This window comes from Homo sapiens, chromosome 1 (assembly GCF_000001405.40).
Source record: "Homo sapiens chromosome 1, GRCh38.p14 Primary Assembly".
Taxonomy (NCBI): domain Eukaryota; kingdom Metazoa; phylum Chordata; class Mammalia; order Primates; family Hominidae; genus Homo; species Homo sapiens.
This window is the reverse complement of record NC_000001.11, coordinates 200,805,634-200,827,108: the sequence shown is the minus strand read 5'-3', so window position 1 is coordinate 200,827,108 and position 21,475 is coordinate 200,805,634. Positions and strand designations below refer to the sequence as shown.

Here is a 21,475-nt window from a genome sequence, read left to right as displayed (position 1 = left end):
AGAGTAAATGTACTAAAAGAACAAATAAATATACTATGCATACTTATATACGTATGCTTCAAAAAGCTCAAATACATAGCATAAGTTCCTTGCTGAAGAATAACGCCATTTCTGAAGTGATCAGCAACTATCCTTTTGGTTTTCAGGGAAGAATTAGGCAAACTGCAACATCAAATCCTGTTTTAAGATGTAAATAACCACGAGGACAAAGGTTTTTTGATTTTTTTTTTCTTTTTATCAGGACCACCAGGCAAGAAACAAAGGGTTTTTTAAAACCCATGGATAACAGGTGAAAAAACTTTTATTAAGTTTCTACCGACAAAGGGGCCAACCTAGGCAGTCCAGATTTTCTGGAATAGTTCTAATTTCAAATATTCCTTTCAATTGTCTTTATAATACATGTTTGGCTCACCCTGAATTTTGGCTAGTTGTTTTAGGACTTGCCATTAATACTCTCCAAATAATACTCTTCCTCTGGGTATCTACAACATTCTGGCAAGGTAGGATAATTCCTGAACTACTTCTAGGTGCTCTCAGGCCGTTCCAGGAGGATATTGGTTTGGTGTGGTCTTTATTGGAGACCTCAAAGAGTTGGGGTCCTTCAGGGAGTTAATCATGGCTGTGACTTGTTACTGCATGACTTGTTAACTTGTTAGATTTAATCTTTTTTTTTTTTTTTGAGACAGTCTCCCTCTGTCACCCAGGGTAGAGGGCAGCGGAGCTATCTCAGCTCACTGCAACCTCTGCCTCCCAGGTTCAAGCAATTCTCCCACCTCAGCCTCCCTAGTAGCTGGGACAACAGGCATGCACCACCATGCTTGGCTAATTTTTGTATTTTTTGGTAGAGACGGGGTTTCACCATGTTGGCCAGGCTGGTCTTGAGCTCCTGACCTCAAGTGAACCTCCCACCTAGGCCTCCCAAAGTGCTGGGATTACAAGTGTGAGCCACCACGCCCAGCCATTAGACTTAATCTCCTAGCTGTTGCAGATCCAAAAGTTATGCCGAATCGCTGATGGAATATAAAATGGTACAAGCTCTTTTGGAGGGGATTTCGTCAACATTTAACAAAACTACATACAGTATGCATTTACCCTTCAATCTAGCAGTCCAACTTCTAGGAAATTTACCTTGAAAATACATATCCAAAATACAAAAGGCCACATATAACAGTATTCTGTGCAGCACAATTTGCAATAGCAAGATACTGGAAACTACTTAAATGCCTACACATAGGTACATAGTTGAAGAAACTATGGCACATATTCACAAGGCAGCACTATGCTGCTTTAAGAAATAATGATTGGCCGGGCACAGTAGCTCACACCTGTAATCCCAGCACTTTGGGAGGCCAAGGCGGGTAGATCACGAGGTCAGGAGGTCGAGACCAGCCTGGCCAACATGGCGAAACCCCGTGTCTACTAAAAAATGCAAAGATTAGCCAGGTGTGGTGGCGCTCGCCTGTAGTACCAGTTACTTGGGAGGCTGAGGCAGAAGAATCGCTTGAACCTGGGAGGCAGAGGTTGCAGTGAGCCGAGATCGCACCATTGCACTCCAGCCTGGGTGGCAGAGCAAGACTCTGTCTCAAAAAAAAAAAAAAAGGAAGAAAGAAAGAAAGAAAGAATGATCTCTAGGGACCGTATGGAGTAATTTCCAGGATATACAGTTACTGAAAAGAGCAAACTGCAAAAGAATAAATATGTTATGTTTTGTGCTAGAAAGGAGGAGAAACAAACATGCACATACGTGCTTGGTCCATTTAGAAGGGCTGGGAGGGAGTACATGTGGAATAAGTAAGGGGTAGAAGAGATAGGGGAGGGATTGATACTTCTCTGAGTATACCATTTATATAGTTCTGATTTTTGGAATTATGTCAATGTTCTACATATTCAAAAAACAAAAGTTAACAAGGATGGTGTCAAAAAAGATCGCTAAAATGGAAAGAATACAGAAACCAATTAACACAAATGTATTTCAAAGGAATAATATAACCACAGTGAAGGCGGGGGCAGAGGGAAACAACTTAAGAACACTGTACTTTGACTATATACTATTAGTCTAAAAAAAAATTGCAAACAAATCTTAAATTCTTCTTAGTAGGTTTTTAAATTTATTTATTTATTTATTTATTTGAGACAGAGTCTCACTCTGTCACCTAGGCTGGAGTACACTGGCACGATCTCGGCTCACTGCAACCTCCGCCTCCCGGGCTCAAGCAATTCTCCTGCCTCAGCCTCCCAAGTAGCTGGGATTACGGGCGCATGCCAACACACCTGGCTAATTTTTGTATTTTTGGTAGAGACGGGGTTTCACCATGTTGGCCAGGCTGGTCTCAAACTTCTGACCTCAAGTGATCCACCCGCCTCGGCCTCCCAAAGTGCGGGGATTATAGGCTTGAGCCACCATGCCCGGCCAGTAGGTTTATTTTTCATATTGGTATGAGTATAGCAATTCTGAAACTACTGTATATGTATTGTAGGACTGAGCAAATAAGTAAAATATATTAATGCTGTTGGAAGCCTGAGTTCTCACTGTGGAAGGGGAAGTCCTGCATGGAATAGGGGAAGCCAGGAAGAACTCTGTGGAGTTTGATTGGAATTGGAGGTTTATATATGAACTCATGTTTGTGTATTTTTAAAATTTTATTTCTGAACTCTGTCTACTGAAATAGGGCCTAGAAGTAATGATATTCCTGTAGCAATGAGCCACTTAGTGCCCAGATTTTACAGTTGCTAAATACTGTTTTCCATAAAAAAGAATTAAGACTTACTGAAGAAATGGCTGATTTTAGGATTATGGCAAGGAAACTACAAAATGAATCTGAAACATCTTGTTGAGCTAGAAATTAAATAAGGAGGGGCAAAAAAAAAAAAAAGAGATGGATGAATGGGGGCATATCAAAAGCACAGGAGTCAGTCTGAAGGGACTCCCGTTGGCCAAATCTAAGACCATTTGAGCATCAAAATAAAGAAATAGCTAATTTTAGGTCAAGGAAAGAACAAGATGAGCCTGGAGCATTCTGTAGTGCCAGAAAGTAAGGAAGTGCTCAAAAAACAAAAGGATTGGGGCATATCCAAGAGATACCAAAGCCAACCCCAAAAAGCTCTCAGTGGCTGATGCTGTAAAATTTTGAGCAACAAAATAAACAACGCAGTATTAGATTGTAACTCAAAGCATAAAATATTAAGTATACATGAGTCCATACTGATATAAATAAATGATTGAATATAAAAAATAAATGGGGAAGAAGACACAAATCTTCCTTACAGAAGAATCCCCAATAGTATATGCAAGTATTCTCCCTTTCAGGGAGTGAGCTTAATTTCCCTCCTTTGGAGTGCAGGATGGAGGTGGTGACCCACTTCCAAAAATAAGAAGGGAAAACCAGTAAATTTATAATGGAGAAACCTGACAAACACTACCTTAACCAAGGGATCATGGTTAATATCACTAGTGTTAAATCATGTTCTTATCATGTACCCCGTGATACAATATATGATATGATATATGACCTCTCTGGTAGTCTTCTCAAAAAACCTGTAACTCCAGTCTAACCATGAGAAATATCAGACAAACCCAAATTGAAGAACACTACAAAACACCTGACAAATATTTAAAAAGGACATCAGTGGAAAACCAGTAGAATCTAAATAAAGTCTGTAGTGTACTCAATAATAATGTACCAATGTTACTTTCTTACTGTTCACAAATGGGCTCCAATTACGTAAGATGTTAACATTAGAGAAAACTGGGTGAAGTTGTACTATCTTTGAAACTTTCCTGTAAATCTAAAATAATTCTGTAATAATTTTAAAAGTAAATACATAAGGACAAAAACTGATTATAACCCATTACATATCCATAAGCTCATTCAGATAGTAGAGAAATATTATATAGACAGGTAGATGGGTGGAAGAAGAAAAACTTGCTTATAACAGAATGCTAACTAATAAATATGGAATAAATGAAGGGGTTAGAAAATTATAAATTTGTGACTATCATAGTAAAATTAATTCAGGTAGGTATATTCAATGAATGCTAAATCTAGGATGAGGGGAAGCTTTCAAGAAAGATAGGCTATTTACAGTGGTAGAGTAACTCCTCTCAAATTACCTATTACAAACGGAAACATAATATAGCTGTCCCCCCCTTACCCATAGTTTTGTATCTGCAGTTATTCACAGTCACTGTCTGAAAATGAATGAAAAATTCCAGAAATAAACAACTCATAAGTTTTAAATTGCATGCTGTTCTGAGGAGTGTGATGAAACCACATGCTGTCCTATTCCATCCAGTCTGGGAAGGGAATCATACCTCTGTCCAGCATTCCATGCTGTATATGCTACCTGCCCATTGCTGTATAGGAAAAAACAAAGTGTAGATACAGTACTATCTGAGGTTTCAGGTATGCACTGGGGGTCTTGGAACATATCCTCTGAGGATAAAAGAGGACTAATGTAACCCTGTAGTCAAGAAACCAGAGAATATCTTAACCAACTGATCAAAATGAACATTATCTAGCAGGGGTAAATGGATATCATGTGCCTCTGGATATTACATTGTGATAAGGACACAATTTACAAAGCATTCTAGCCTGAAAAGCACAACCTTCATCTAATAATGAGGAAATATTAGAAAAAGCCAAATTGAGAAGTATTCTATTAAAATAGCCCGATTCTTTAAAAATGTCAAGGCCACAAAGAAAAGAAAAGCTAAAGAACTGCTTCAGTTTAAAGAAGACTAGGGATATGACAGCGAAATAAATTAATGATAAAATGGGAACATAAATGATACAGTATTATACTGACATTAAATTACCTGTACTGTCGTTATGGAAATGAATTGCCTTGTTCTTAGGAAATATATATTGAAGTATTAAGGGGTAAAGGGGCATGATATATGCAACCTTCTTTGAAATGTGGTAGAACAATTTACGTGTGTGTGTGTGTGTGTGTGTGTGTGTGTGTGTGTAGAGCGAGAGAGAGAGAGAGAGGGAGACAGAATGATAAAGGAAATTTTCAGTTTGAAAAACTGATGAATCTGTTGAAAAACTGATGAATCTGAACAGAGTTTGAGAATTCTTTTTACTATTCCTGCAACTTTTTGTAAGGGTGTAATTATTTCAAAATAAAATAAAAGTTCTTTAAAAGTTATATTAGATCTATACCAATCCAAGTCTTTATAGGGTCTTGTGTCCAAATGCACAAGATTATTAATTTATAAAACTGTTAGAGAAATCTAATGGTTATCATACTCTTAGGTAAAGATTAAAACCATGGTACCATCTCTGAATTCAAAAAAATGTTTAAAATGCCAAGTTCTCTTAACTATAATAAATGAGTTAATAATAGAACAGGGACGTACTCTAGGTTGTTGTGTTTCCTGTAAGGGCAAGTAAATTATTATGAAAGAGAAAAGGTATGTTGATATTAGGGATAAAAAAAAGAAATGGCCACGTGTGGTGGCTTACGCCTGTAATCCCAGCACTCTGGGAGGCCGAGGCGGGTGGATCGCTGGAGGCCAAGAGTTTGAGACCAGCCTGGCCAACATGGCGAAACCCCATCCCTATTAATGTAAAAAACATTTTAAAAAAAAGAAGAAGAAGAAATGAATTAGCATTGACCACAGAAGACTACACATTGGCCAAAGGCCTGTAATCCCAGCACTTTGGAGGTCAAGGCAGGCGGACTGCTTGAGCTCAGGAGCTTGAGATCAGCCTGGGCAACATGGTGAGACCCTGACTCTACAAAAAGTAAAAAAATTAGATAGGCATGGTGGCACATGCCTGTAGTCCCAAGTAGTTGGGAGGCTGAGGTGGGAAGATTGCTTGAGCCCAGGAGATCAAGGCTGCAGTGAGCCATGATCTCGCTACTTCATTCCAGCCTGGGCAATAGAGTGAGACCCTGTCTCCAAAAGGAAAAAAAAAAAAGAAGAAGAAGAAGCAGGCTACATATGGATAGATTTATAATTATAAAACAGAATCTTAAGGGTAGGATTCAAAACAAAAATTATCTAATTTAGACAGGCTATGTCTTCACAGTTAACTAAAATAATGGTATAAAAGAAATCGAGGTAAATCTAAGAGTCAAATGAAATGATGTATCTGAGAATGATGCGCTATATTTGAACATTAAATGTTTTATATATTTATATACATATTAAATAGACAACTTAAGTACAAAATTATACGTTAAAAATTACCGTTTTCTAAATTGTGCACTGAAGAACACTAATTCTATGGGATGCTAGTAAAAGTCATTTATAAAACAGTTCAAAGATCAAAAATGTTTGGAAAATGGCTAAACAGTCTCTTTGACTGGGACTTTAATGTACTGAAATGGATTGCAACATTCTTAAAGGGGCATAGACTAGGCAGCATTTCCCAAATGTATTTTACTTCGGAGCCCTTCTCTCAAATAGTACTATTTGAAGAAACAGCATTTGAGGGAGAAAAAAGTGGGTTATAGTTTGTAACTGTTAAGGAATTTTAGTCAAGGGAGAAATTCATAAGGGCTGAAGTAATCAGGCAAAGAGGTATAAGCATTTACCTACTCTCTCACAGGGGGAAAGTGTAGTCTATATTGAGATACACCTTAAAGTGAAAAGCAATTAGAGCTCTGTGGATGTCTTTTCTCCAAAGGTAATTCCTTCACCTAATTCCTACTCCCTTGCAAAATACCTCACAAATATTTCTTTTTAAAAAGTAGCAAATGCCACATTAAGTAAACATGTATCTTTAATACTTTGAGAAACATTGGCTGGGGTGGTGTCTCATACCTATAATCCCAGCACTTTGGGAGGCCAAACTGGGGGATCACCTGAAGTCGGGAGCTCAAGACCAGCACATGGCGAAACCCCATCTCCACTAAAAATACACAAAAAATTAGGTGGGCATGGCGGTGCACACCTGTAATCCCAGCTACTAGGGAGGCTGAGGCACGAGAATTGCTTGAACCCAGGAGGCCAAAGTTGCAATGAGCCGAGATCATGCCTCTGCCCTCCAGCCTGGGTGACGGAGCAAAACTCCGTCTCAAAAAAAAAAAAAAAATTTTTTGAGAAACATTAAACTTCATTCTCTATATAGTTAGTATTAGAATACAAACTCATGAATTCATAGCTCTTTCAAAACTGATTCTGCCAAATTCATCCACTCAGTAATTCCCACATGTGACTTCACTTGTGACTTAGTGTCACTACTTATATTGTTCCTTATGACCTAGTATCATGAAATCTACTAAGGCCCTGTTAAAGTCCCACATCCTCTAGAAGGTACTCCTAGATATTTCATGCATACAGTTAGCATAAATCTACTAGTAATATACATATAGAAAAGTCTATGATAACTATTTACTATTTTTGCCAACCTTTTGTTTTTGTCTCATGTTTACTAACATATCGAGAAGGGAAAAACTGAGCATCTTTTTAATTACAGAATTTAGAAACCATTTAATCCAACCTTCTAATTTTTACAGATTAAAAAAAAACAAACCCAAGGCCCAGAGAGGTCAAGTGCCTTTGTAAAGGTCATGAAGCTATTTAGTGGCAGAACTAGCCTGACTTTATGTGCAATACTCATTTTACCATAGTACTTTATACAAACTCTTCAAGAGAATGAATGTTGGACTTAATGTCATCTTGGCTATAAACTTCAGAAATCGTTCAAGTACGGCTTCCAGATTTAGCAAATAAATACAAGATGCTCACACAATACAAGACACCTGTGCAACTTATAAAAAAATTATTTGTTGTTTCTCTGGCATTCAAATTTAATTAGGCACCCTAATTTACAATCAAAAGAAGTATTAGAAGCAAAATGAGCAACTTGGAAAAAAAAGAGAAAATAACATTAGTAAACTGTTTAAACAAAACATTTTCCTAGGACATGACACTATTTAAAATGCCTTTCTCTTAGGACACCACCCAATCCAATGATCAGAAATACATCACTGGAGGATCTAATACCCTAAACAAATACCTTTGAAATCTTTCATTTCAGTCCAACCCTAATAATATATAGTACAAGTATCCTTCAACATGTGCATATATTTTACCAAGAATATGGTTATAAAAAGATATTTCATAAAACAAATTCTACTGGACATCTGAGTTAAGAGTAGTTGGGCAAGGACAAAAGGTAAGATATGTTATTATTCAATACCACGGGCTCTGTCTATAGCTGGACAAGCAATAGGCAACAGGGCTAGGCTCCTGAGTACGCCTCACTAGAAAAGCTGACTGAAGTAGATGGAAAGAGTGGCAACTTCTTACCAACTGTATAGCAATAAAAAGAGCAAGTCATTTTCTCTCTCATTTGTAAAAGAAGAAAAGGAGCATGAATTTTGCTTTTACAGAATTAAAAACCAAGAATGGAATGATAATATTTCCAGTCAAACCAAGTACACAGTTCAAATGCCAAAAATCCCATTGTTAGGTAACAGACCAAGATTCCTTTCCCTAGTTTATTCTGTGATTGTGTGTTTCTTCATAATGACAACACCTGAACCTACAGTAAGATTATGTTAAATTAACCCTTATTTTCACAAAGATTCAATTTTCAAAAACAATGGGGGGAAAAGGATAAAATTCATTTGAAAATGAAGGGGTAAATGCTATGTATGTGCTAAACTACAAGTGTATACTAATCAAATATTTAAAAATGAATTGCACAATCATTTCTTTATTCACTCAGTCACCCATTCACCAAATACTAGTTGTACAGTTAATACGTGCAACTGCATGGAGCTAAGTGCTGTGAAAAAGTAAAAGCCATGTAATACAACAATGTCTAGATTCCATACAGTTTTTCTTCAAGATCACTTTATTTGATTGTTTGAAATACAAATGGCATTTTTTTCATTAAAAAAATGTTTCTTGGGCCCTCTGTCATCATATAAAATCCCCATTTGGTTCATAATGTGTATGCAATACTACAGAATTTAACCATTATATATAATACACAAGATTTCTATAGAGAAATTTCATTAGTGTTATAATTTAGAATGATGCCACTTCAACCTTATTACTGATAAAAAGCCAGGAGCAAAATTGAGGGGCAGGATTACACATATCTCCAAGGCAAAAGTTTCAGCTCCTATGATTATGAAAAAGAGAAAGGGAAGGAAGCTGACAAGAAAAGACTGTGGGACGTAACAGGGAAGAGGCAAGGACAGAAATTGGCTGGAAGCAGGGAAATGAAACATAATCTGGGGTGATGGGGAAAAAGGAGAATTCCATTCCAATCTACCTTTAGGGTAAAGGACCTCAACAGAGTTAGAATGAAGGATTAAGCACAAATCGTATTTTCAGGAGCCAGTCAGTTAACCAAATGGGGGAAAGCATTGTGATCCCAAAACATCAAAATCAGACAAAATTGTACGTGGTCCTCCACAAGATTTTTCTATTGAAGTTGATAAGAGACAGAACAGCTTCGCTTTTCCTTCCTTTTTCCCTTCTTTCTCTTTTTATGGAGAGATCAGTGAATAGTGGAATAAGAATAAGCTCAAAATAATAGAAGTACTGTGTAATAATGAAGAAACTTTAAACCAAATGGAGATTAAAGTTTCTGAATGATTACAATTTCTTATACCTCAATTCTAATACTATACAACATGTTTAAAGGGTTCCAATTACAATACATTTTAAAAGACGTAAGATATACTATATCATAGAAAATATGCTTTTGGTCTTAGCATATGACAAACACACAACTAAATTTTCAGAGAAGAAAATTCTAAAAGTCTGTTTGAGATTTTTAAAAGAATAAATCCATGTTAATGTTTCTTCTTTCTTCACAGAACAACCATACTGTACATTTTGGAATTCTGGGAAAATATATATATATGTGTGTATATACACACACATATGTGTGTATGTGTGTATATACACACACATATGTGTGTATGTGTGTATACACACACACATGTGTGTGTGTGTATATACACACACGTGTGTGTATGTGTGTATGTGTATATATACACATATATACGTGTATATACACACACGTGTGTGTATACATATATACGTGTGTGTGTATACACATATATACGTGTGTGTATACACATACACGTGTGTATGTGGGTATACACATATATACGTGTGTATGTGGGTACACATATATGTATATATGTGTAGATATATACACATACACACGCGTGTGTGTGTACACACATACACACGCGTGTGTGTGTACACACATACACACGCGTGTGTGTGTACACACATACACACGCGTGTGTGTGTACACACATACACACGCGTGTGTGTGTACACACATACACACGCGTGTGTGTGTACACACATATATACACGCGTGTGTGTGTACACACATATATACACGCGTGTGTGTGTACACACATATATACACGCGTGTGTGTGTACACACATATATGTGCGTGTGTATATATACACATATATGTGTGCATGTACATATACACACATATACACATGTGTATGTGTGTGCATATATATGTGTGTGTATATATATACATATATATATATATATATATTTTTTTTTTTTGAGATGAAGTTTTGCTCTTATTGCCCAGGCTGGAGTGCAGTGGCATGATCTTGGCTCACTGCAACCTCCGCCTCCTGGGTTCAAGCGATTCTCCTGCCTCTGTCTCCCGAGTAGCTGGGACTACAAGCACCGGCCACCACGCCTGGCTAATTTTTTGTAGTTTTAGTAGAGACGGGGTTTTACTATGTTGGGCAGGCTGGTCTCAAACTCCTGACCTCAGGTGATCCGCCCGTCTCAGCCTCCCAAAGTGCTGGGATTACAGGTGTGAGCCACCACGCCTGGCCCTATATATATATTTTTTTTGTTTGAGATGGAGTCTCGCTCTGTCCCCCAGGCTGGAGTGCAGTGGCATGATCTCGGCTCACTGCAACCTCTGCCTCCTGAGTTTAAGCGATTCTCCTGCCTCCTGAGTGGCTGGGATTACAGGTACACGCCACTATGCCCAGCTAATTTTTGTATTTTTAGCAGAGATGGGGCTTCATCATGTTTGTCAGGCTGGTCTTGAACTCCTAACCTCATGATCTGCCTGCCTTGGCCTCCCAAAGTGCTGGTATTACAGGCGTGAGCCATCGCACCCAGTGAAATTCTGGGAATTTTGTTTTAAATGTTGGTCTTGCTGCATTGCATGTCATTATAAAGCCTGAACATTTAAAATTGTTTCCTTGTTGTTTTACACATTTTACCAAAGAAAGGCAAACTGTTATTTTTGACAAAAGAACCTCAGAACTTGAGTTCTAGTCATTAATATATTTTTTTACAAACACCATCATCCAATTAACCTTCATTTTGTACTTCTATTTACTTAGTGTTTACAGTATGGCTTTCTAGGGTACAGTTAACACCACTAAAAAATAATTTAATAAACACAATTAACATTTCCCAAAATAATACAAATATGTGAACATATATACAGTCTCATAAAGGCACCTTTTTGTTTTTGAAATAAATACCTTTTGACCTCCTGGAGCTTCAACTGTGTGATGTTCTTTCAGTTTTTGTTCTTGTTCCATTATGTCTTTCAAATGTTCATTTACCTTAAAATATAAAAATATCAGTTTGAATTTTTATTCTTTTTTTGAATTTACATTCAAATATAACAATAAAATAACACACATTAAGATGCCTATAGTCAGAGCCCTGATGTCAAATATCAGTCTCACTCAAATAAAGAAAATTTCAGCTTCACAATCAGAAAAAAATAGTTTATGGGTACTTATTTGATATTCTAGAATTCATTAATTTATCAAATAGTTGTTGAGCAGACACTGTATGTCAGGAACTGGTTGGAGCGCTAAGGGAAAAAAGGTACTTGGTAATGTCAGTTTTAATGCTTAGGAAGCAAACTAATATCAAGTAAAAATTTTACAATCTATTTTAGAACTAGTAAATGAAAGTTATTTTCCCTAAAATTAATGTTGTTGTTATCAATAAATAACACTGTGAATCAAGTTCTTAAGGTATGATTTCAGACATATCCATGATCATGGGGGAGTTTAGGGCAGTCATAATGCCACAGTTAAAACACATGCAAAATTTCTGCATATGAAAACTTTTTGAGGAGAGAGCTTAATTTCTTTCTCATCAGATTATTCAAGCAGTCCATAATCCAAAAACAGTTTAAAAAAAAAAAAGTCTACATGGTGCATAAATTATTTCTTGAGAAGACTTTAGATAATTTTTGGTTTTGAGTTAATGATTTTAAGGTCACTCTAGTAACAATCAATAAAAGTTCAAATTTATTAATCATGGCACTGTAGAAAATATTAATGCCATTAGCCACCAAAACTTTCAGTCCCCACTTTGTTTCTGGCACCTAAGAATTCCCTTTTCTTCCTTTAAACTCAACTCTGCAGTATAAACTTTTCTAATTATATTTATCAAGCATTTTTAGGTGTTCCTAACAGGAAGAGTTGTAGTTTTAGTGTGACATGTTGACAAAATCATTCATATCTTCTTCTTGTTTTTTTTTTTTTTTTTTTTTTTTTGGGATGCAATCTCACACTGTCGCCCAGGCTGGAGTGCAGTGGCACTGTGTCAGCTCACTGCAGCCTCCGTCTCCTGGGTTCAAGCAATTCTCCTGCCTCAACCTCCTGAGTAACTGGGATTACAGGCGCCCGCCATCATGCCCGGCTAATTTTTTAAATATTTCTAGTAGAGATGGGGTTTCACAATGTTGACCAGGCTGGTCTCAAACTCCTGACCTCAGGTGATCCACCCACCTCGGCCTCCCAAAGTGCTGGGATTAAAGGCATGAGCCACCATGCCCAGCCCCATATTTTCTATCATGGTAATACATTGTGTTACAAAGCAGTTTTATAACACCCATGTATCTTTAAGCATTTTGGTCTCTTTACCAATTCGGGGAGGGGAAGAAGACAGGACCAAATCCTGGGAAAGTTTATAATGTTTTCTATTTGTTTGTTTTGTAGTATTTTCATTCCCCACCCGCCCACCCCTCCCCCCGCCACCTTTTTTTTTTTTTTTTTGGAAACACAGTCTCACTCTGTCAGCCAGGCTGGAGTGCAGTGGCGTGATCTCGACTTACTACAACCTTTGTCTCCTGGGCTCAAGCAATCCTCCTGTCTCGGCCTCTCGAATAGCTGGGACCACAGGCGTGTACCACCATGCCTAGCTAATTTTTGTTTTTTGTTTTGTTTTTGGTAGAGACAAGTTTCACCTTGTTTCCCAGATTGGTCTTAAACTCCTGGACTCAAGCAATCCACCTGCCTCAGCCTCCGAAAGTGTTGGGATTACAGACATGAGCCACCAGACCCAGCCTCATTCCCTTTAAGTTAAAAAACAAACACTTTCTAATTCATTGTCAGGTAGTCGTAATTGATCTGCCAGTTTGGAAATATCCTTGTTTTTATTTTTTTCCCCACTGAGGAAATACCTTCATTTTTAAAGAGGTTTTTATCTGATTCTGTCCAAAAAGCAAAGTGGTCACAAATTAACATTTTAAACCACCATTCACTCATGTATGTGCACATTCAACAGATATCTACTGAATGCCAGTTATGTGCCAGATACTGTATTAAGAGGCTAGGTATACAATGGACTACAAAGCCAAAGTGATTCCTGTCCTCATGAAGCAGGGGAGATAGAACAACAACAAAAACCATTTGTAAATGCTATAAATACATTAAAATGTGAGTAGAAAATAATGGGAGCAGGAAGATCTATTTTAGAAAAGATGGTTATATCAGACAAGGCCTTCGCTTTGGTCTAAATGTTTGCCCCCCAGAGTTCATATTTGAAACTTAATCCCCAATGTGTTAATATTAAGAGGTGTAGCCTTTCGGGGCATGATTAAGTCATGAGGCTCTGCCCTTGCATATGGGGTTGGTTCCTTTATAAAGGGGGTTGAAGGAGCACAGTGGCCCTTTCGGCCACGTGAGGACACAACAAGAAGCTGCCATTCTGAAGCAGAGAGCAAGTCCTGACCAAAAACTGAATCTGCTGGCACCTTGATCTGGGAATTCCCAGCTTTCAGAACTATGAGCAATGAATTTCTGCTGTTTATAAATTACCTAGGCTAAGGCATTTTGTTATAACAACCCAAACAGACTAAGACAATTTCTTTAAGAAGTAACTTTAAGCTGAGATCTTAAAGAGAACAAGCTGGCTATGGGAAAAGTAGAGGAAAGAGCATTCCAGAGAGAGAATGAAAAACATAAGCAAAAGCCCTGTGGTAGGAAAAATACTTGCGTGTTTAAGTAACAGAATGACATAGTGAACCCAAAGAAGTCACAAAATGAGATAGGAAACAGAGGTAGAGCCAAATAATATAAGGTTAATATATTCATGATTTTTGTGTACCTCTGCATGATTCAATCATTCAATATAATCTTGTCTTCTGTGATTTTGCTTTTTTAAGTTTAAACTCATTTTAGCCACTATGCTGATAATTATTTTAGCCATGTTATTGCCATTTTTCTTTGGTAGGTTTTTTTATACTTGTGGATGCATTATCCAGGAAAAAAGGCAACTGGGTTAGGACGAGCCAAAACAAGAGCCAGAAGGAGAAAACATATACTAAATCTGAGAGGCAAGGGTAAAGTCATAATGCGAGAATAAAAAATAATGCTGGGGCTGGTAGAATGGATCAAGGAAAAAAAATACACTGCAGTTCAGGTTGAATCAAATTGTTTTAAACCTAATTTGAAAATGGAATGAGGTGGATATGACTGCATAAAGGTGCTGAACATTCCTAGTTAAGTGATTTCCTTAATTTTGTGTAGATTTCCAAAGTTCTAAAGTGCCTAGCTTAATTCAATGGCTTAAACTATCCTTCTCTTTATTAGTTTAGTGTTTATTAAATATAATCTCTTTGTCAAACACTGTGCTGGTCTAGATACTAAAACTGAAAAGAAGAAGGTCATCGTAGGCACTAGAAATAAAAAGTTCATTGTACCTATCCTCACATAGACTATTCTAGTGAGGAAGACAGATTTTAAAAAATTAAATGATTAAGAAAAGTAATTAGTCTGAAAAGTGCTATGAAAGAAAAAAAGTAGAGTGTTAGGGTATAGAAAACAAGGGGTTGATAGAGGCACTTCATTTAGATAAGGTTGTCAGGAAAAAGTGCTATCCAAGCTGACGGAGAGCAGAAGCACTAAGCCATGCAGAAAGCTGGGAGCTGAGCTGCCCAGGAATAGGAAACATGAGGTTCAACGGTTCAGAGGTGAGAAAGGGCATATAGCGGGAAGGAAGTCAAAGAAGTGAGAAAGGGGAACAGTGGCCATGAGCCTACAATGGAGTACACAGGGTCAGGTTAGGTGGTACCTTGCAGGCCACGATAAATTTTACATTTTATTTTAAGGGTAAAGTGAAGTCACTGAAGAGTTTTGAGCAAAAGAATGGCATGATCCAAGCTGCACTATAAAAAGATACTTGTAGAATTCTGGTTCTGGTAATAGTGGAATAGCATGCATCACACTAATCCCCGCAGAGAGCAATTATAAACTCTGGACAAAATATATAAAGCATCTGTTGGAGGTACTGGTGAGCAACCAAGAGCAAGTAGAAGCAAGAAAGAATTCAACTTTGGAAAGAAAGAAACACACTGAGTGAAATCCATGTTTATATGGCCTTACCCTCAATTCAACAGTGCACTGTGACTAGAACTCAAGGAGAAAACTGTAGTCTGGTTGGCAGGAGGAATCAAGGGAAATCTGGCACTGCTAGAGTAGCTGGATACTGAGGAGGAATATTCTAGGAAGGGTAATGGGGGAGGCCCAAAATCTGCATATAAACTTCCCTCAACTCTTGGCTGAGCCCTGGACTGTGCATGTGTAGGAAAGATTCTAAGAAGTGCAGGGAGAAAAAACTGCTGAGAAGCCAAAGAAACTGCCACCACAGGGGAGACAGAGTTTGTTGTTCAAATCCCACCAAGTAGAGGAGGGCTTGGTAAACACCTTGGGTTTTCCACTGAAACTTCAAAAAGATGGTTCATGCTTTAGAAGTAAAGATTGAGTTTAAATTAAGGACAGAAAAATATTGATTGGATTTGCCTTTTTGACCAACTCAGGAACAATTTCGGGTTAGGAATGGGTATGGGAGAGAGAGAGAAGAGCAGGCTAACGAAATAGCAAACAACTCTTGAGAGAGTCTGTTGTATGGAGAAATAGGGTTGTATTTGGATGGGGAAGTTTTGTTTCTTAGGATGGAAGACACTAGAGCAAGTCTGTTTTTTGGTTTTTTTTTGAGATGGAGTTTTGCTTTGTTGCCCAGGCTGGTGTGCAGTGGTGCAATCTCGAGTCGCTGCAACCTCCACCTACCAGGTTCAAGTGGTTCTCCTGTCTCAGCCTCCCAAGTAGCTGGGACTACAGGCGCGTGCCACCACGCCCAGCTAATTTCTGTATTTTTAGTAGAGACAGGGTTTCGCCATGTTGGTCAGGCTGGTCTCCGACTCCTGACCTGAAATGATCCATCAGCCTCAGCCTCCCAAAGTAGTGGGATTACAGACGTGAGTCACCGCCCCCAGTCTCCAAGTCTGTATTCTTTTTTTTTTTTTTTTGAGATGGAGTCTCGCTCTGTCACCCAGGCTGGAGTGCCGTGGCGCCATCTCGGCACACAGCAACCTCCGCCTCCCAGGTTCAAGCAATTCTCCTGCCTCAGCCTCCCAAGTAGCTGGGATTACAGGCACCCGCCACCATACCCAGCTAATTACTATATTTTCAGAACGGGGTTTCACCATGTTGGCCAGGCTAGTCTTGAACTCTCAACCTCAGGTGATCCGCCTGCCTGGGCCTCCCAAAGTGCTGGGATTACAGGTGTGAGCCACCACGCCCGGCCCAAATCTGTATTCTTATAAGAATGATCCAATAGACCGGAAGAGTCAGACAATGTGGGAGTGAACAAATAACAGTGTGGTCCCAAACCAGCAGCATTAGTATCACCTGGAGCTTGTTAGAAATGCAGACTCTCCTGCTTCACCCTAGACACCTCCTCATTCAGATCAGCCATTTTAACACGTTCCCAGGTTCTATGGTTTGAATATTTGCCCCCCTCTGAAATTCATGTTGAAACTTAATCTCCACTGTGGCAGTACTGAAAGGTGGGACCTTTAAGAGGTGACTGGGTTATGAGAGCAGACCCAATTCACAGATCAATGGATCAACGGGCTATCACTAGCAGCTTTGTAAGACGGGGAAGACAGACCTGAGCTAACATGCTCAGACATGTGATGATGCCCTGTGCTGCCTCAGGACTCTGCAGAGTCCCCACTTAGCAGGAAGCTCTCACCAGTGGCCTCTTCACCTGGGATCTCTTAGCCTCCATAGCTATAAGAAATAAATTCCTTTTCATTATAAATCACCCAGTTTCAGGTATTCTGTTATTATTATTATCATTATTATTATTTTGAGAGGATCTCGCTCTGTCACCCAGGCCGGAGTGCACTGGCGCGATCTCGGCTCACTGCAACCTCCGCCTCCCAGGTTCAAGTGATTCTCCTGCCTCAGCCTCCTGAGTAGCTGGGATTACTGGCATCTGCCACCATGCTCAGCTAATGTTTGTATTTTTAGTAGAGACGGAGTTTCGCCATGTTGGCCAGGCTGGTCTTGAACTCCTGACCTCCCACCTGCCTTGGCCTCCCAAAGTGCTGGGATTACAGGCGTGAGCCACTGAGCCCGGCTCAGGTATTCTGTTACAAGAAGAAAATGGACTAATACACCAGGTAATTCTTATGTACATTAAAAAGTAAGAACTGAAGTACAGGACCAATGACCACAAAAAAGGGAAGAAAGTTCTAGAGCAAGTAGTAGAAAACTCACGTTTGATGTGAAGGGGGAAATTCTTCATTGTAACAGTAGGACAAAAGAAAGGCAATGAGTGCGATCCAAAACTGTTTACAGATTTGCTAGTATAAAGGGAAGATAATTCCCACCTAAAGCCTTCCCATCTCTGGTCTCAAGAAAAGATAAGGCAAATTTAGCTGACAGTAGTAGGGAAAGGGTTACAGAAGGTCCGAGAATTAGAGGAAAATGGGTAACACAGTTGTCATGAAGCGTGGGAAAGCAAACTTAGGGACACATTTGTTGGACTGGCAGTGGAAGTTTGTGCTTATGAACTTAAAGTGAAACCAACTTCCTTGTGTAAATTTCTCCAGCAATATTTGCCTCTGCAAATGCAGGTTAGAAATAAAATGGGTAACTAAGCTAAACCATCTGAGCTGTTACCAAATGAGTAACAGGGAGGGAAGGGGAGACATAAGAACTGAGAGTACTTATAAAAATCTAAGTTCAAGATGGACAAATATGAAGTCCAATAAGATTGTGAGAAATTAATAGGCTCAATAGTTTATAAGTCATAATGAGGTTCAACATTTTAAAAATTATTATTTAAAGCAAGTGGGTTAGGAAGATAGGAGAAACTGTTCAAGAATGGGAAGTCTGTAATGGGATGTGAAGGTTGCATAGTTTCTCAAGATGAATAGGTCTAGAATGTAACTGTGATTTTCTACAGCTGAGGAGGAGTCAGGGAAAGATTACTAAAGATGAAGAAATAAAGGAACTCCAGAGGCAAAGTATTAAGCAGTCCTTCTACAATGATACTGATATTATGGATAATGAAGATAGCTGTAATAGTGTTTTTTACATTTAGCTTTTTATTACGAGCTTCATGCCAGCTTTCAAGAAAGGATACCTGGAGATATAACTTCTTTTAAATCCGTTTAGTGCTTGTCTTCAGATAAGGTTTAATTTTCTTTTGGCTGGCAGTTGTAAATGAAAGTGGATCAAGACAAATTAACTACTCAAATTGGCAAAGGGAGTGATAAGCTGACAAATTAAGCATCTTCAAAGCACAAATCACAGCTCCATAAAAATTTCCAAGAAGAGGAATCCACAATCAATAGGATCTTGTGCAACTTGGTCAAGCAAACCTAAGAATCCCCTAACTGGAAATGTAAGAAAATTATTTCATTCTTGAAATGAATTCAAAAAATATTTACTGAACACCCACTGTGTATAGTTCACTATTAGGAGTGTTCTGAATTTTTTCATAATCTGGTATGAACCAGATTAATCATTAAGAGTAATTATAAATATTGGCCAGGCGTGGTGGCTCACGCCTGTAATTGCAGCACTTTGGGAGGCCAAGGTGGGTAGATCACCGTGAGGCCAGGAGTTCCAGACCAGCCTGGCCAACATGGCGAAAACTCGTCTCCACTAAAAACACAAAAATTAGCCGGGTGTGGTGGCAAACGCCTGTAATCCCAGCTACTTGGGAGGCCGAGGCATGAGAATTGCTAGAACCTGAAGGGCGGAGGTTGCAGTGAGCCGAGATCATGCCACTTCACTCCAGCCTGGGTGACAGAGCGAGACTACTTCTCAAAAAAAAAAAAAAAAAAAGAGTAATCATAAATATTGCTAAGTATACAGAAAACTATTTTCATCATTTTAAGCTTTTTTACTAAAAAATTTAAGTGTATTTTACAACTTAAGTTTGCACTTTGATTTGAAACAAAAAGAGTAATGAAGTGGCAATGTATAATTTAGAATTTCACGTTTTCTGGCTATGAGATGCGATTTACTCAAGTGAGTATAATCCTACCTTATTTATCCAGTACATGACAGCGTCCTCAATATCATAGGGCAGATCTGTGGCTTGAAAAAAAGCTGAATACTGCTGAGCACACGCAATTACTTTTTCTATACTGACCATTTCTACAGTATAAGCCATCATGAGGGTATCGATCATGGCCAAATGTGCACTCTGAAAATATAAAACAAGAACAAATAGTTTAAAAATTATATTTAGAAATTGCTTTTTACATATTTTGAAATGTTAATGACATCTCCTAACAAGCAGCAGAATAACTACAGAAGACCAGCCTTAATAAGAAAGCATAAATTGTACATGCTAAAGATGAGCTAACTGACCCAAACTAATTTATTGTTCAAATACTTATTGAGGATCTATATTTAAGATACTCATTATCTTCTACTCCAAAGATGCTTCTTTTCTTGTTTTTCCTATTTTTTATAATGTCATGGTCATTTACTCAGCAATATAACTTACCGACTTCAGAACCATCTTTGACAGTCTTTCCTCATTCTTCTCACCCACATAGTACAAGTTTATAGATTCTCTATCTTTCAAATCTTCCCTCTTCCTCATTCTGATTGTCACAGTTCCAATTCAGACCCAAACATTTCTCACACTTGAACAAGGTAAAAAATTCTTTAACTGGTTTTCCTGCCTCCAACTTCTTCCTCATCTAATTCATCCAGAACAGGACTTCTAGCCTTTGGCACAGATAGATAGATTTGGCATAGATAGATAGATAGATAGATAGATAGATAGATAGATAGATAGATAGATACACACACACACACACACACACAATTATATGGAAGTTCTAAAAAAAACATTACAGTAGTATATGAAGTGCCCCTCCCTCCACCAGTTTCTTCAGTCTGGTATATATTCCTACAAAAAAGTTTAATGCCTATGAAATATGTACACATTTACACTGCTTGGCATTACCAACAATGTTACAACATTGTATTTCTCCAGGGATAATTCTTAGTTGTGGCCACTGGGTCCAAGGGCAACCACAATTTAAGTTTTGATAGATAACCATTAATCTACTCTCTAGAAAGGTTACACCAACTTATCTCCCACCAACGTTATCAGCCTGCCTGTTTCTCCACATTTTTGACAACATTAGATATTATTCACTTTTAAAAATCTGTATCAACATGAAAGTTTAGAAGACCCCACTCTTGTTTGACTTTACAATCCTGATTATCACTGAAGATGAGCATCCTTTTATGTGCTTTAGCAACCATTTGCATTTCTTCTTTGGAAAGCTACCTGCTCAAATCTTTTGCCTATTCTTAACTGATTTGTAAGAGCTCATTATATATTAAGTACTTTTTAACCTTCTGTCATTGAGGTAGCAAATACTTTCCCCTAGTTTTTCTCCAGACTTTCAACTTTAGGGTACCTTTTGTTGCAGAGTTTTAAATATTTACTTGGTAAAATCTGTTAATCTCAGTGTTTTCCTTTATGGCTTTGGAGTTGATAACATGTTTATAAAGGTCTTCTCCAACCCCAAAATATAGAAATATTATTCTCTATTTTTTCCATAACTTTAATTCCATCTGGAATTTACTTTTGACAATGTTATAAACTAGCGGCTGTTTTTTCCAAATCGGAGATTGCATCATATCATTCTCTCATAAAGTCTACCTCATTTTCTACATAACGAAGTCTAAACTCCTTAAAAGAGGTAAAGTTTCTTTCTTTCTTTCTTATTAGCTGCTTTGTTAGTCTAGCCTTAGAATCTACCATTTCCTTCTCCAATCTGCTACCAGTTTTCAAGCTTTTGTGCCCTGGCTTGTTGTCCTCCTAACAATACAGACTAAGTTTTGTCGTTGGTTTGAATGTTACTCTGATTGTGAAGATTTTTCCAGTTCTCTTTCCAATCAAAATGACTCACTCAACCTATC

The 21,475-nt window shown here is 38.1% G+C and overlaps 1 protein-coding gene across 7 annotated transcripts in view; it reads right to left on the bottom strand.

Moving 5' to 3' along the window:
- Positions 1–21,475, bottom strand: part of CAMSAP2 (calmodulin regulated spectrin associated protein family member 2) — a 121,812-nt gene that overhangs the window by 33,596 nt on the left and 66,741 nt on the right. For all 7 annotated transcript variants that reach the window (NM_001297707.3, NM_001389638.1, NM_203459.4 and 4 more), the window contains 2 exons: positions 19,572–19,733; positions 11,465–11,548 (listed from right to left, as the gene is read on the bottom strand). In NM_001297707.3, coding sequence (NP_001284636.1) covers positions 11,465–11,548; positions 19,572–19,733 — 246 coding nt within the window. The remainder of the gene's footprint in view (positions 1–11,464; positions 11,549–19,571; positions 19,734–21,475) is intronic.